This window comes from Homo sapiens, chromosome 4 (genome assembly GCF_000001405.40).
Source record: "Homo sapiens chromosome 4, GRCh38.p14 Primary Assembly".
In the NCBI taxonomy this organism is placed as follows: domain Eukaryota; kingdom Metazoa; phylum Chordata; class Mammalia; order Primates; family Hominidae; genus Homo; species Homo sapiens.
The window spans coordinates 154602381-154618657 of record NC_000004.12 but is presented as its reverse complement, the minus strand read 5'-3'; the positions used below and the strand labels follow the sequence as shown (position 1 = coordinate 154618657).

The window sequence follows — 16277 nt, the reverse complement described above, 5'->3', positions numbered from 1 at the left end:
TAGAACAGGGCCTGGCAAATAGTATATGCCCAATATGTATTTACTAAGTGAATGACCACTTTGATCTGAGCATCCAGCAGAGGAACACCATGGGACAGTGTGCAGTTACCCGGCAGCCAAATTTTGTGGTGCATATTTGATTCAGCATTATTTTAGATATTATCCTAGATAAATTCTATAAAGTTTCTCGGTCAGAGCTAGAAATGGCTTAACATATCAGGTTAATATGAGGAGGGGTATGGGGCCTTCCATAGCCATAATTAGATGATGTAGTATTAAATATCAATAAAGTACTAATGAGGAAATTAACCTTATAAAGCATAGTGAGATCCACAGGAAGTATTGATATGTAAATATCAGGTAGTTTTCCGACGCAGAAGGATGCATAATTAAGCAATCGGTTTCCTGGATCTTGGTCAACAGAATTTCCTCTCTGCTGTTTATAAAAGGTAAAATGCAGTGTTCTAAATTTTGACCTAACCTTGTTTCTTTGTGAATGAGCTTGCTCTGGTCAGCCCTGAAGCCAGACCATTCTTCGGTAACTTGCAGCCATAGTGTTATCCATCAAGAGTGTGATTTACACTCTAGGCTTTCTTGCACAACATTCAATAAATATTTGGGTCTTTGACTTAATCTGGTTTTGCAAATCGTATCTTTGTTTACTTAGTAGAGGTCACTGCTCCACCACTCAAGGTAAAGTATACACAGAAATCTACACTTGAAGAAGACAGAGATATGTCACCTTTCATGGATGAAGCAAAGTCCTTCAAAATGTCAATAGAAAGTTAGCCTTTGTACACAGCAAATCCTATATGGATTTAACTTTGAAAGGACTATAGTGCAATTACACTAAGACAATAAACTAACCCAAGTAGTTAGAATTTAAAACAAAGATCTAAATCTTATAAATGTTTTGTTTGTCCTCATTCAAAATTGCAGGTTAAAGCAAATGTGTGCGTTAAGCTAGATAAGATGACTGAATTGCTTTGATGATCTGATAGCATTCTCTGTTCTTCTTATTTTCTCTCCTTCTTTAGAAATATATATATATTCCTCCAAAGATAGTTTATATGACAAAATAACTACAGTTTTTCTCAAACAGGGGCCTGTCCACTTTCAACATAGGCCAGTATTTCTACTCAAAGGCTTAAAAAGTTTCTTCTTTCCGGAGCACATTCTTGTGAATATAACTTGGCCCCTTGGTTGGTGGTGGTTTATTTTTCCCCCCAAACTCATTTGCTCTTGTAAATCTCCTGCTAATCATATTTAGTCATGAAAATTCTTTCATGGGGTGAGAGATTTAAAATCGTAGATTACACAAAGATGGAAAAACACAAACAAACCAGTAGCAGATACCAATGTGGCACAGCAAAACACTTAAATCCAACTTCTCTGTTCAATTTGTCTCAATCCAGGGCACCTCAGATCATTCCTTAGTCTCAAACTAGTATTAAAAATGGCTAATTTCCAGCCTCTTTGGCCTCTGTAATTGCCAATGGGATAATCCTTCTTTCTCTAGGCACCCAGTACTTTATTTCCTAAATTCCAATCACAGCAGAGATTTTTCAACATCCCTGCCGCTAGGACAGATCCCCCAAATGACACATGTAATGAAACTTTATGAAGTTAAGAAGTGCAAAACTCAACCTGTGGGTGCTGTTCTGCTGCCAGTGAGGGAGTCCATTTTACTTGTGCCCAATGTTGTTTTTGTCTTTGATTTACATAGTGAAACTAAAAGCACATTGTTCACAGACTACCAAGAAACTTTTGCGTTTTCACTTTCCCTGGGCTATTTTTATACACAAAGCAAATATTCTAACAGACAACTCTGTTGCCCTTAATGGGATATTTTTACTATTAGGTTGGACTGGCTTTCAGTATGCCAATAGGTCATTTTCTTTCTGCCAGTTTTTAGGAAATCCAGTTCTGAGGGTTCAGGCTATAAATTTAGCTTAGATCTAGAAATGGTTTACTTGTTAGAAAAACAGATATATCATTGTCGCCATTGATTTGAGCTTCCTTGACCACGCAGTGGCTGTCTCTCCCTTTAACTTACTGATGGAATTCAATTTATCAAGTCCTATTAAACTTGAACCATGCAGTTAGCATTGAAAAACTGCTTCCATCTAAAATTGGACTGAAGCCAGGTGCATTGGCACGTGCCCATAGTCCGAGCTACTCAGGAGGCTGAGGCAAGAGGATCACTTGGGCCCAGCAGTTCAGTTTGAGGCCAGACTGAGCAACAAAGCTAGGCTGCATCTCTAAAGAGAGAGAAAAAAAAAAAAGGACCATAAACACAAGCTAATCATAAAACAACACAAATCTAGGTTTGAGAAATACTCAAAGACTGTAAAAGATCATTCACAAAATCTTGTCTCTAACCCAGAGAAGAAGATAGATAAGTTGGTAGATAGATGTAAATGTGTGTTCAAATAATCATGCACACAGTTATGTAGATGCACACACACATCTTTAAAATCCATTCTATCAGTGAATAACTTTGAGTCTCATAACACCTTGTATCTGTGTATTATTTTAAATTAAGAAGGGCTTCATGGTTGTATTAAGATTCATGGTTAAGAGCACAGGCATTGGGCCCCATGGGTTTGAGTTCCTGTTCTGGCACACTGACCCTGCATATGTTACACAACATCTCTAGGCCTTTCTTTTTTCATTATAAGATACAGGTAATTATATCTACTTCCTAGGCTTGTGGTGAGGATTAAATGAGAGAATATACATGACAACAAAAACTATACTACCACATAATATCTAGCATAAAGAAGATGCTCAAAATTGGTAGTTCTTTCTATTATTCCTTAGGGCTATATCATTTGTCACTAGGTCAAGAAGTCTTCTACATAATCAAATTTAAATTCAGCAAATAATTTTGGAGCAAAGATGAATGTAACAGACTTGGCTCACAGAGTAAATTACCAATATACACGAAGACTGTTAGCTGTAGATTTGTGTTTTCAAATCAGAACACAAACGGTTGGACGATAGGGAATTTGGGACATTATTATTTCAATAAACAAGCCCACTGACCTCAGAGTTACAGTAAATGATTATTTTGGCTTAAATACTACCTATGCTATTATCTCAAAAAACATACCTGGAAGTAGAAGAACTGTGATTTAAGAAACATTCTTCATTCCTGGAATTCATCAATCATTTATCATTTTTCAAAGAAAAAATTGGCCCAAACATGAAAAAACTAGTTAAAATTTAATAAACCTAAGTGATACTAGATTGAATGCAGGGCCAATGTAGACCGCTAAATCACTGTTGACCATTTTTTTTTCTCAGAGAGCAAGCATCTTGTCTTATATGATTTGGATTTAGGACTTGAGATTGTAGTAAAAGGAAATTATTTTCTCTAAAATTGTGATAACACATCTGGATTCCAATATAAGTCAGTTAAAAGCCTGTAATACAAGTATTCCACTTCTAAAATGGGATAAGATAGAATTTCTAATGTCCTCAATTTAAATGTTTATCAACTTTGTGAATATTATATATCTTAACACAACCAATGAAACTTTATGACATTAAGGAGCTCAGAACCCAACCTGTGGCTGCATGAATTGTTACCCTAAATTCAACAAACTAATATTTTATGGTCTTCAGCAAAAAGAACCACAAAGACATGCTCTGTCTAAACACACTTTGCTTGAACATTCTTACAGATAGGAAGTATACCTTCTCACAAGGCATGCAATCCATTTATATTATCATTTGATCTTTGATTGGTAAAATCAATTTGGATAGAATTTCCTAAACTAAACGACCAGGTGCTTTCTTCTCTGGGGAATCTTACAGAAGGAGACTGCAGTTAGTTGCAACAGATTTTTTATTAAAGAGAATTTCTGTAGCTAGAACAACAAAGCTTGTTCCCTGTGAACCAAATCTACCAATAATAGCTCTATTAAAAGAGTTTCCTATTTACATAGATTTTATACCAAATATATTTGGTAATTCATAAACCTTACAAACATTTACTTAACACTTACCATGAATTGGGTAATGTGCTCAACACATTATCCCACTAAATCTTAGTAATAGCCCTATTAAGTAAATACCATATCATAAGTATTATCTCTCTTTTACTGACATGGATAATGGAACTCAAGGAGATTGAGTAACTTGTACTGAATCACACAGCCAGTAAATTGTAAAGATGGGACTCAAACCTAGGGAGATGGACTCCAGAGCCTTAACAACTATTTATTTATACATTCTCCAATTGAGCTACACACTTCTTGAAGGCAAAGGCAATGCCTGAGTCACCTTTCATGTTCAAATCATATTAAAAAGTTAGCAAGATGTAATTATCAGTGTACTATGTAAATCTTTGTGAATGATCAATAATTACATATTTTCATTATATATATTTTAGTAGATAATATTTATATACATTCAACATTCTAAATATAGAAAGTTTACAGAGAAAAATAAAGCCTTTTTTTCCAATCCTGTCCTCCACCTCTGCATCCCATTCTTCTTCACAGAGGCAACTGATTCAAGTCATTACATAGTTATTGAGTGTTAACTACAACTATGTTAAGTACAGCTATATATGTTAGATGCCGTAGCCACAGAAATCAGTTTACAATCTAATGCAGTGGATACAGCATGTATACATATAATATAAGGTTGCTACAAATGCTATCTGAGGTAGAGCTGTTTGAAAGAATACTAATACTTAAATGTTTAATTCAACTGACTTGATTGACAACTGATTAGCTGAGTGGAAAAGATGGATGAGAAAGATTGTGAGACTTAATTGGCTGGTGGTATGGTGATATGATTGACAATAACTGCTAAGTCAGAGAGGGATATATTAAGGAGGAGAAGAAAAGCAACAAATCTGGTTTTGATGTGTTCACTTTGTTATAATTATTGATTATTTACTGAATATGAATATTTATCTTTGTTTTTGAGTCAATAAATATACCTTTGTAAAGACAGAATTAAAGTATTAGTATTTCTTTCAAACTGGAGGCATTTCTCCCACTAACATATTTCATCAAAACTTATAATAAGCTTGGTTCCAGAGGAAGAAATGAGGGATAACCAAAAATAGAGACATTAATAATAGTGTAACGCCCAGTGATAAATCTCAATAGGCAGTGATGACAGACATGTTTTCCCAAACACAAGGATGCTGTAAGGGCCAAACAGAAATGATGGCCCCTCCCCAGCACCTCATTTTGCCCCTTCCTTCAGCTATGCCTCTACTCTCCTTAGATACAAGGGAGGTGGATTTTTCTCTTCTCTGAGATAGCTTGATGGAACCACAGGAACAATGAAGTGGGCTCCTGGCTCTTTTCTCTGTGGCAGATGGGGTGCCATGCCCACCTTCAGACAAAGGGAAGATTGAGCTCAAAAGCTCCCTGAGAAGTGAGAGCCTATGAACATGGTTGACACAGAGGGACAGGAATGTATTTCCAGGGTCATTCATTCCTGGGAATAGTGAACTGGGACATGGGGGAAGTCAGTCTCCTCCTGCCACAGCCACAGATTAAAAATAATAATGTTAACTGATCCCTAGGCTAAAATAATAGTGTTAACTGATCCCTAAGCTAAGAAAGTTCTTTTGGTAATTCAGGTGATGGCAGCAGGACCCATCTTAAGGATAGACTAGGTTTGCTTAGTTCGAGGTCATATCTGTTTGCTCTCAGCCATGTACTGGAAGAAGTTGCATCACACAGCCTCCAGGACTGCCCTCCTCCTCACAGCAATGGATAATGCTTCACTAGCCTTTGCAGATAATTTTGGATCAGAGAAAAAACCTTGAGCTGGGCCAAAAAGGAGGAGCTTCAACCTGTGTGCAAAATCTGGGAACCTGACAGTATAGGTTGGGGGCCAGGATGAGGAAAAAGGAACGGGAAAGACCTGCCCACCCTTCTGGTAAGGAGGCCCCGTGATCAGCTCCAGCCATTTGCAGTCCTGGCTATCCCAGGAGCTTACATAAAGGGACAATTGGAGCCTGAGAGGTGACAGTGCTGACACTACAAGGCTCGGAGCTCCGGGCACTCAGACATCATGAGTTGGTCCTTGCACCCCCGGAATTTAATTCTCTACTTCTATGCTCTTTTATTTCTCTCTTCAACATGTGTAGCAGTAAGTGTGCTCTTCACAAAACGTTGTTTAAAATGGAAAGCTGGAAAATAAAACAGATAATAAACTAGTGAAATTTCTGTATTTTTTCTCTTTTAGTATGTTGCTACCAGAGACAACTGCTGCATCTTAGATGAAAGATTCGTAAGTAGTTTTTATGTTTCTCCCTTTGTGTGTGAACTGGAGAGGGGCAGAGGAATAGAAATAATTCCCTCATAAATATCATCTGGCACTTGTAACTTTTTAAAAACATAGTCTAGGTTTTACCTATTTTTCTTAATAGATTTTAAGAGTAGCATCTGTCTACATTTTTAATCACTGTTATATTTTCAGGGTAGTTATTGTCCAACTACCTGTGGCATTGCAGATTTCCTGTCTACTTATCAAACCAAAGTAGACAAGGATCTACAGTCTTTGGAAGACATCTTACATCAAGTTGAAAACAAAACATCAGAAGTCAAACAGCTGATAAAAGCAATCCAACTCACTTATAATCCTGATGAATCATCAAAACCAAGTGAGAAAATAAAGACTACTGACCAAAAAATAATAATAATAATCTGTGAAGTTCTTTTGCTGTTGTTTTAGTTGTTCTATTTGCTTAAGGATTTTTATGTCTCTGATCCTATATTACAGATATGATAGACGCTGCTACTTTGAAGTCCAGGAAAATGTTAGAAGAAATTATGAAATATGAAGCATCGATTTTAACACATGACTCAAGTATTCGGTAAGGATTTTTGTTTTAATTTGCTCTGCAAGACTGATTTAGTTTTTATTTAATATTCTATACTTGAGTGAAAGTAATTTTTAATGTGTTTTCCCCATTTATAATATCCCAGTGACATTATGCCTGATTATGTTGAGCATAGTAGAGATAGAAGTTTTTAGTGCAATATAAATTATACTGGGTTATAATTGCTTATTAATAATCACATTGAAGAAAGATGTTCTAGATGTCTTCAAATGCTAGTTTGACCATATTTATCAAAAATTTTTTCCCCATCCCCCATTTATCTTACAACATAAAATCAATCTCATAGGAATTTGGGTGTTGAAAATAAAATCCTCTTTATAAAAATGCTGACAAATTGGTGGTTAAAAAAATTAGCAAGCAGAGGCATAGTAAGGATTTTGGCTCCTAAAGTAAATTATATTGAATGTGGAGCAGGAAGAAACATGTCTTGAGAGACTAAGTGTGGCAAATATTGCAAAGCTCATATTGATCATTGCAGAATGAACCTGCATAGTCTCTTCCCTTCATTTGGAAGTGAATGTCTCTGTTAAAGCTTCTCAGGGACTCATAAACTTTCTGAACATAAGGTCTCAGATACAGTTTTAATATTTTTCCCCAATTTTTTTTTCTGAATTTTTCTCAAAGCAGCTTGAGAAATTGAGATAAATAGTAGCTAGGGAGAAGTGGCCCAGGAAAGATTTCTCCTCTTTTTGCTATCAGAGGGCCCTTGTTATTATTGTTATTATTATTACTTGCATTATTATTGTCCATCATTGAAGTTGAAGGAGGTTATTGTACAGAAATTGCCTAAGACAAGGTAGAGGGAAAACGTGGACAAATAGTTTGTCTACCCTTTTTTACTTCAAAGAAAGAACGGTTTATGCATTGTAGACAGTTTTCTATCATTTTTGGATATTTGCAAGCCACCCTGTAAGTAACTACAAAAGGAGGGTTTTTACTTCCCCCAGTCCATTCCCAAAGCTATGTAACCAGAAGCATTAAAGAAGAAAGGGGAAGTATCTGTTGTTTTATTTTACATACAATAACGTTCCAGATCATGTCCCTGTGTAAGTTATATTTTAGATTGAAGCTTATATGTATAGCCTCAGTAGATCCACAAGTGAAAGGTATACTCCTTCAGCACATGTGAATTACTGAACTGAGCTTTTCCTGCTTCTAAAGCATCAGGGGGTGTTCCTATTAACCAGTCCCGCCACTCTTGCAGGTTGCTATCTGCTGTCCCTTATGCATAAAGTAAAAAGCAAAATGTCAATGACATTTGCTTATTGACAAGGACTTTGTTATTTGTGTTGGGAGTTGAGACAATATGCCCCATTCTAAGTAAAAAGATTCAGGTCCACATTGTATTCCTGTTTTAATTGATTTTTTGATTTGTTTTTCTTTTTCAAAAAGTTTATAATTTTAATTCATGTTAATTTAGTAATATAATTTTACATTTTCCTCAAGAATGGAATAATTTATCAGAAAGCACTTCTTAAGAAAATACTTAGCAGTTTCCAAAGAAAATATAAAATTACTCTTCTGAAAGGAATACTTATTTTTGTCTTCTTATTTTTGTTATCTTATGTTTCTGTTTGTAGATATTTGCAGGAAATATATAATTCAAATAATCAAAAGATTGTTAACCTGAAAGAGAAGGTAGCCCAGCTTGAAGCACAGTGCCAGGAACCTTGCAAAGACACGGTGCAAATCCATGATATCACTGGGAAAGGTAACTGATGAAGGTTATATTGGGATTAGGTTCATCAAAGTAAGTAATGTAAAGGAGAAAGTATGTACTGGAAAGTATAGGAATAGTTTAGAAAGTGGCTACCCATTAAGTCTAAGAATTTCAGTTGTCTAGACCTTTCTTGAATAGCTAAAAAAAACAGTTTAAAAGGAATGCTGATGTGAAAAGTAAGAAAATTATTCTTGGAAAATGAATAGTTTACTACATGTTAAAAGCTATTTTTCAAGGCTGGCACAGTCTTACCTGCATTTCAAACCACAGTAAAAGTCGATTCTCCTTCTCTAGATTGTCAAGACATTGCCAATAAGGGAGCTAAACAGAGCGGGCTTTACTTTATTAAACCTCTGAAAGCTAACCAGCAATTCTTAGTCTACTGTGAAATCGATGGGTCTGGAAATGGATGGACTGTGTTTCAGAAGGTAATTTTTTCCCCACCATGTGTATTTAATAAATTCCTACATTGTTTCTGCCATATGGCAGATACTTTTCTAAGCACCTTGTGAACCGTAGCTCATTTAATCCTTGCAATAGCCCTAAGAGGAAGGTACTTCTGTTACTCCTATTTACAGAAAAGGAAACTGAGGCACACAAGGTTAAATAACTTGCCCAAGACCACATAACTAATAAGCAACAGAGTCAGCATTTGAACCTAGGCAGTATAGTTTCAGAGTTTGTGACTTGACTCTATATTGTACTGGCACTGACTTTGTAGATTCATGGTGGCACATAATCATAGTACCACAGTGACAAATAAAAAGAAGGAAACTCTTTTGTCAGGTAGGTCAAGACCTGAGGTTTCCCATCACAAGATGAGGAAGCCCAACACCACCCCCCACCACCCCACCACCATCACCACCCTTTCACACACCAGAGGATACACTTGGGCTGCTCCAAGACAAGGAACCTGTGTTGCATCTGCCACTTGCTGATACCCACTAGGAATCTTGGCTCCTTTACTTTCTGTTTACCTCCCACCACTGTTATAACTGTTTCTACAGGGGGCGCTCAGAGGGAATGAATGGTGGAAGCATTAGTTGCCAGACACCGATTGAGCAATGGGTTCCATCATAAGTGTAAGAATCAGTAATATCCAGCTAGAGTTCTGAAGTCGTCTAGGTGTCTTTTTAATATTACCACTCATTTAGAATTTATGATGTGCCAGAAACCCTCTTAAGTATTTCTCTTATATTCTCTCTCATGATCCTTGCAGCAACCCTAAGAAGTAACCATCATTTTTCCTATTTGATACATGAGGAAACTGAGGTAGCTTGGCCAAGATCACTTAGTTGGGAGTTGATAGAACCAGTGCTCTGTATTTTTGACAAAATGTTGACAGCATTCTCTTTACATGCATTGATAGTCTATTTTCTCCTTTTGCTCTTGCAAATGTGTAATTAGAGACTTGATGGCAGTGTAGATTTCAAGAAAAACTGGATTCAATATAAAGAAGGATTTGGACATCTGTCTCCTACTGGCACAACAGAATTTTGGCTGGGAAATGAGAAGATTCATTTGATAAGCACACAGTCTGCCATCCCATATGCATTAAGAGTGGAACTGGAAGACTGGAATGGCAGAACCAGGTACTGTTTTGAAATGACTTCCAACTTTTTATTGTAAAGATTGCCTGGAATGTGCACTTTCCAACTATCAATAGACAATGGCAAATGCAGCCTGACAAATGCAAACAGCACATCCAGCCACCATTTTCTCCAGGAGTCTGTTTGGTTCTTGGGCAATCCAAAAAGGTAAATTCTATTCAGGATGAATCTAAGTGTATTGGTACAATCTAATTACCCTGGAACCATTCAGAGTAATAGCTAATTACTGAACTTTTAATCAGTCCCAGGAATTGAGCATAAAATTATAATTTTATCTAGTCTAAATTACTATTTCATGAAGCAGGTATTATTATTAATCCCATTTTATAGATTAACTTGCTCAAAGTCACATTGCTGATAAGTGGTAGAGGTAGAATTCAGACTCAAGTAGTTTAACTTTAGAGCCTGTCCTCTTAACAACTATCCTGGTTGAAAAGCAAATACAGCCTCTTCAGACTTCTCAGTGCCTTGATGGCCATTTATTCTGTCAAATCATGAGCTACCCTAAAAGTAAACCAGCTAGCTCTTTTGATGATCTAGAGGCTTCTTTTTGCTTGAGATATTTGAAGGTTTTAAGCATTGTTACCTAATTAAAATGCAGAAAAATATCCAACCCTCTTGTTATGTATAAGGAATAGTGAAATATATTGTCTTCAAACACATGGACTTTTTTTTATTGCTTGGTTGGTTTTTAATCCAGAAAGTGCTATAGTCAGTAGACCTTCTTCTAGGAAAGGACCTTCCATTTCCCAGCCACTGGAGATTAGAAAATAAGCTAAATATTTTCTGGAAATTTCTGTTCATTCATTAAGGCCCATCCTTTCCCCCACTCTATAGAAGTGTTGTCCACTTGCACAATTTTTTCCAGGAAAGAATCTCTCTAACTCCTTCAGCTCACATGCTTTGGACCACACAGGGAAGACTTTGATTGTGTAATGCCCTCAGAAGCTCTCCTTCTTGCCACTACCACACTGATTTGAGGAAGAAAATCCCTTTAGCACCTAACCCTTCAGGTGCTATGAGTGGCTAATGGAACTGTACCTCCTTCAAGTTTTGTGCAATAATTAAGGGTCACTCACTGTCAGATACTTTCTGTGATCTATGATAATGTGTGTGCAACACATAACATTTCAATAAAAGTAGAAAATATGAAATTAGAGTCATCTACACATCTGGATTTGATCTTAGAATGAAACAAGCAAAAAAGCATCCAAGTGAGTGCAATTATTAGTTTTCAGAGATGCTTCAAAGGCTTCTAGGCCCATCCCGGGAAGTGTTAATGAGCTGTGGACTGGTTCACATATCTATTGCCTCTTGCCAGATTTGCAAAAAACTTCACTCAATGAGCAAATTTCAGCCTTAAGAAACAAAGTCAAAAATTCCAAGGAAGCATCCTACGAAAGAGGGAACTTCTGAGATCCCTGAGGAGGGTCAGCATGTGATGGTTGTATTTCCTTCTTCTCAGTACTGCAGACTATGCCATGTTCAAGGTGGGACCTGAAGCTGACAAGTACCGCCTAACATATGCCTACTTCGCTGGTGGGGATGCTGGAGATGCCTTTGATGGCTTTGATTTTGGCGATGATCCTAGTGACAAGTTTTTCACATCCCATAATGGCATGCAGTTCAGTACCTGGGACAATGACAATGATAAGTTTGAAGGCAACTGTGCTGAACAGGATGGATCTGGTTGGTGGATGAACAAGTGTCACGCTGGCCATCTCAATGGAGTTTATTACCAAGGTATGTTTTCCTTTCTTAGATTCCAAGTTAATGTATAGTGTATACTATTTTCATAAAAAATAATAAATAGATATGAAGAAATGAAGAATAATTTATAAAGATAGTAGGGATTTTATCATGTTCTTTATTTCAACTAAGTTCTTTGAAACTGGAAGTGGATAATACCAAGTTCATGCCTAAAATTAGCCCTTCTAAAGAAATCCACCTGCTGCAAAATATCCAGTAGTTTGGCATTATATGTGAAACTATCACCATCATAGCTGGCACTGTGGGTTGTGGGATCTCCTTTAGACATACAACATAAATGATCTGGATGGATTAACATTACTACATGGATGCTTGTTGACACATTAACCTGGCTTCCCATGAGCTTTGTGTCAGATACACGCAGTGAACAGGTGTTTGGAGGAACAGAATAAAGAGAAGGCAAGCACTGGTAAGGGCAGGGGTTTGTGAAAGCTTGAGAGAAGAGACCAGTCTGAGGACAGTAGACACTTATTTTAGGATGGGGGTTGGATGAGGAGGCTATAGTTTGCTATAAGCTTGGAATGGTTTGGAACACTGGTTTCACTCACCTACCCAGCAGTTATGTGTGGGGAAGCCTTACCGATGCTAAAGGATCCATGTTACAATAATGGCATTATTTGGAAATCCCAGTGGTATTCCATGAATAAAACCACTATGAAGATAATCCCACTCAACAGACTCTCCGTTGGAGAAGGACAGCAACACCACCCTGGGAAAGCCAAACAGTCAGACCAGACCTGTTTAGCATCAGTAGGACTTCCCTACCATATCTGCTGGGTAGATGAGTGAAACCAGTGTTCCAAACCACTCCGGGCTTGTAGCAAACCATAGTCTCCTCATCTACCAAGATGAGCAACCTTACCTCCTGATGTCCTAGCCAATCACCAACTAGGAAACTTTGCACAGTTTATTTAAAGTAACAGTTTGATTTTCACAATATTTTTAAATTGGAGAAACATAACTTATCTTTGCACTCACAAACCACATAATGAGAAGAAACTCTAAGGGAAAATGCTTGATCTGTGTGACCCGGGGCGCCATGCCAGAGCTGTAGTTCATGCCAGTGTTGTGCTCTGACAAGCCTTTTACAGAATTACATGAGATCTGCTTCCCTAGGACAAGGAGAAGGCAAATCAACAGAGGCTGCACTTTAAAATGGAGACATAAAATAACATGCCAGAACCATTTCCTAAAGCTCCTCAATCAACCAACAAAATTGTGCTTTCAAATAACCTGAGTTGACCTCATCAGGAATTTTGTGGCTCCTTCTCTTCTAACCTGCCTGAAGAAAGATGGTCCACAGCAGCTGAGTCCGGGATGGATAAGCTTAGGGACAGAGGCCAATTAGGGAACTTTGGGTTTCTAGCCCTACTAGTAGTGAATAAATTTAAAGTGTGGATGTGACTATGAGTCACAGCACAGATGTTGTTTAATAATATGTTTATTTTATAAATTGATATTTTAGGAATCTTTGGAGATATTTTCAGTTAGCAGATAATACTATAAATTTTATGTAACTGGCAATGCACTTCGTAATAGACAGCTCTTCATAGACTTGCAGAGGTAAAAAGATTCCAGAATAATGATATGTACATCTACGACTTGTTTTAGGTGGCACTTACTCAAAAGCATCTACTCCTAATGGTTATGATAATGGCATTATTTGGGCCACTTGGAAAACCCGGTGGTATTCCATGAAGAAAACCACTATGAAGATAATCCCATTCAACAGACTCACAATTGGAGAAGGACAGCAACACCACCTGGGGGGAGCCAAACAGGTCAGACCAGAGCACCCTGCGGAAACAGAATATGACTCACTTTACCCTGAGGATGATTTGTAGAAAATTAACTGCTAACTTCTATTGACCCACAAAGTTTCAGAAATTCTCTGAAAGTTTCTTCCTTTTTTCTCTTACTATATTTATTGATTTCAAGTCTTCTATTAAGGACATTTAGCCTTCAATGGAAATTAAAACTCATTTAGGACTGTATTTCCAAATTACTGATATCAGAGTTATTTAAAAATTGTTTATTTGAGGAGATAACATTTCAACTTTGTTCCTAAATATATAATAATAAAATGATTGACTTTATTTGCATTTTTATGACCACTTGTCATTTATTTTGTCTTCGTAAATTATTTTCATTATATCAAATATTTTAGTATGTACTTAATAAAATAGGAGAACATTTTAGAGTTTCAAATTCCCAGGTATTTTCCTTGTTTATTACCCCTAAATCATTCCTATTTAATTCTTCTTTTTAAATGGAGAAAATTATGTCTTTTTAATATGGTTTTTGTTTTGTTATATATTCACAGGCTGGAGACGTTTAAAAGACCGTTTCAAAAGAGATTTACTTTTTTAAAGGACTTTATCTGAACAGAGAGATATAATATTTTTCCTATTGGACAATGGACTTGCAAAGCTTCACTTCATTTTAAGAGCAAAAGACCCCATGTTGAAAACTCCATAACAGTTTTATGCTGATGATAATTTATCTACATGCATTTCAATAAACCTTTTGTTTCCTAAGACTAGATACATGGTACCTTTATTGACCATTAAAAACCACCACTTTTTGCCAATTTACCAATTACAATTGGGCAACCATCAGTAGTAATTGAGTCCTCATTTTATGCTAAATGTTATGCCTAACTCTTTGGGAGTTACAAAGGAAATAGCAATTATGGCTTTTGCCCTCTAGGAGATACAGGACAAATACAGGAAAATACAGCAACCCAAACTGACAATACTCTATACAAGAACATAATCACTAAGCAGGAGTCACAGCCACACAACCAAGATGCATAGTATCCAAAGTGCAGCTGGAGACAGGAAAGCTGCTTGGGGAGTCTCCCAGCAGAACCTTTTAGCTCCAAACACCTGTGGTGGGACCTGGTCACTCTGAAAGGACTGCAACTCAGAGCAGAGAGCTTTAGGGAGCTATTTGCCCTATCTCTCACTAGTCATGAGGTGAGCTGAATGGAACCATCTCTTCCTTCTGATTCAGGGATATTGACTTTTTAGCAGCCTGAGTTCAGGTTCATTCGCCAACTTTCTAAGGAATAGCTAAATCTACATAACTTAGCAAAAGGCTGACTGTGGGAAGTAATTGGCTAATTTTATGAGGTGGGTCTGGTTGTTCCGAAGTCCTGAGCTTTGGCTTTGCACTCTCTTTCTTTTCACACTTCTTTCTTTCTTCTTGCCTTTCCTTTTTTTTTTTGGATATAGGGTCTCACTCTGTCACCCAGTCTGTAATGCAGTGGCACAACAGTAGCTCACTGCAGCCAGCCTTGAACTCCTGGGCTCAAGTGATCCTCCTTCCTCAGCCTCCCGAGTAGCTGTGACTACAGGAGTGCACCATCACACCTGCCTAATTTTTCTTTAATTTTTATTTTTGTAGAGAAAGAGTCTCACTGTGTTGCCCAGGCTGGTCTCAAATGCCTGGCCTCAAGGGATCCTCCTGCCTCGGCCTCCAAAAGTGCTGGGATTACAGGCATGAGCTACCATGCCAGGCCCACAATTTCCTTCTTAATCTTTTCACTTTCTTGTTATCAGGAGTGCTGAATTTAAGATATCCTATTGAAGAGATAAAAACAGTAAGTCAGCTTCTAGATATACAACCGAAGACGTGGGAGGCTTTGGAAAATAGAAACATTGATTCATTGTTTGCAGCCTTCATATATACATGTATGCATGAAGCACTTATTCAATTAACATTTATTGAATGCCTTCCTTGTGGTAGCCATTGTGTTGGATTTGGGGATATAGTACATGGTATGCTTAGTGTTCTCCACTCTCCCAAACCTGTTCTACTCCATCCAGTCCTCAAATGCAAAAAAAACAGTGACTCATCCTCCAATCTTCCTCCCCATATCCAATTTCTACCTCCCTATATCCAATTACTCATCAAGCCTGCTGAATTCACCTCCTATATATTTATCATATTCACTTTTTTCCTGTATACCGATTGTCACCTTTGTAGTTGAGATACATCTCTTGCCAGGATAAGGGCAATCACCCACTTCCTGTTCCCTTTCTTACATCCAGCCTCTCCTGCTACCATCTCATCCTCCTCCAAACCACTTCTAAAGCCAGAATGCATACAGTTTACCCTTTGTGAACCTATAAAATCCTTTGTGTGAGCAATCTGGTCATAGCTACAAAGAGATATACAATATTCATGAGTTTTCATGCAATATCACTCTAGTGATTTATCCCAAGAAAATCATTTTTAAAAAAGAAAATAGTTATATACAGAAATAAAAATATAGATGTAAATTTCATATTAG

General features: G+C 37.2%; 1 protein-coding gene across 2 annotated transcripts, besides 2 other annotated features; it reads left to right on the top strand.

Annotated features, from left to right (window-relative positions):
- Positions 1653-1802: an enhancer, noted in NCBI's record as "active region_22080". NCBI's record gives its function as "activates an Ori minimal core promoter by ATAC-STARR-seq in GM12878 lymphoblastoid cells {active_cell/tissue: GM12878}" and the evidence as "EXISTENCE:reporter gene assay evidence [ECO:0000049][PMID:35858748]".
- Positions 4788-5960: an enhancer, noted in NCBI's record as "VISTA enhancer hs1706". NCBI's record gives its function as "enhancer in: pancreas[3/8]" and the evidence as "EXISTENCE:transgenic organism evidence [ECO:0001131][PMID:17130149]".
- FGG (fibrinogen gamma chain) lies at positions 6002-14522 on the top strand. 2 transcript variants are annotated; one of them, NM_000509.6, is made up of 10 exons: positions 6002-6126; positions 6223-6267; positions 6457-6640; positions 6760-6853; positions 8461-8591; positions 8895-9028; positions 10008-10192; positions 11676-11953; positions 13592-13761; positions 14304-14522. In NM_000509.6, the coding sequence occupies exons 1-10, from the start codon at positions 6049-6051 to the stop codon at positions 14316-14318; spliced, it is 1314 nt and encodes a 437-aa protein (NP_000500.2). In that variant the 5' UTR covers positions 6002-6048; the 3' UTR covers positions 14319-14522. The 2 variants fall into 2 exon arrangements, with proteins under 2 accessions (NP_000500.2, NP_068656.2); NM_021870.3 differs by having other exon boundaries at positions 13592-14487.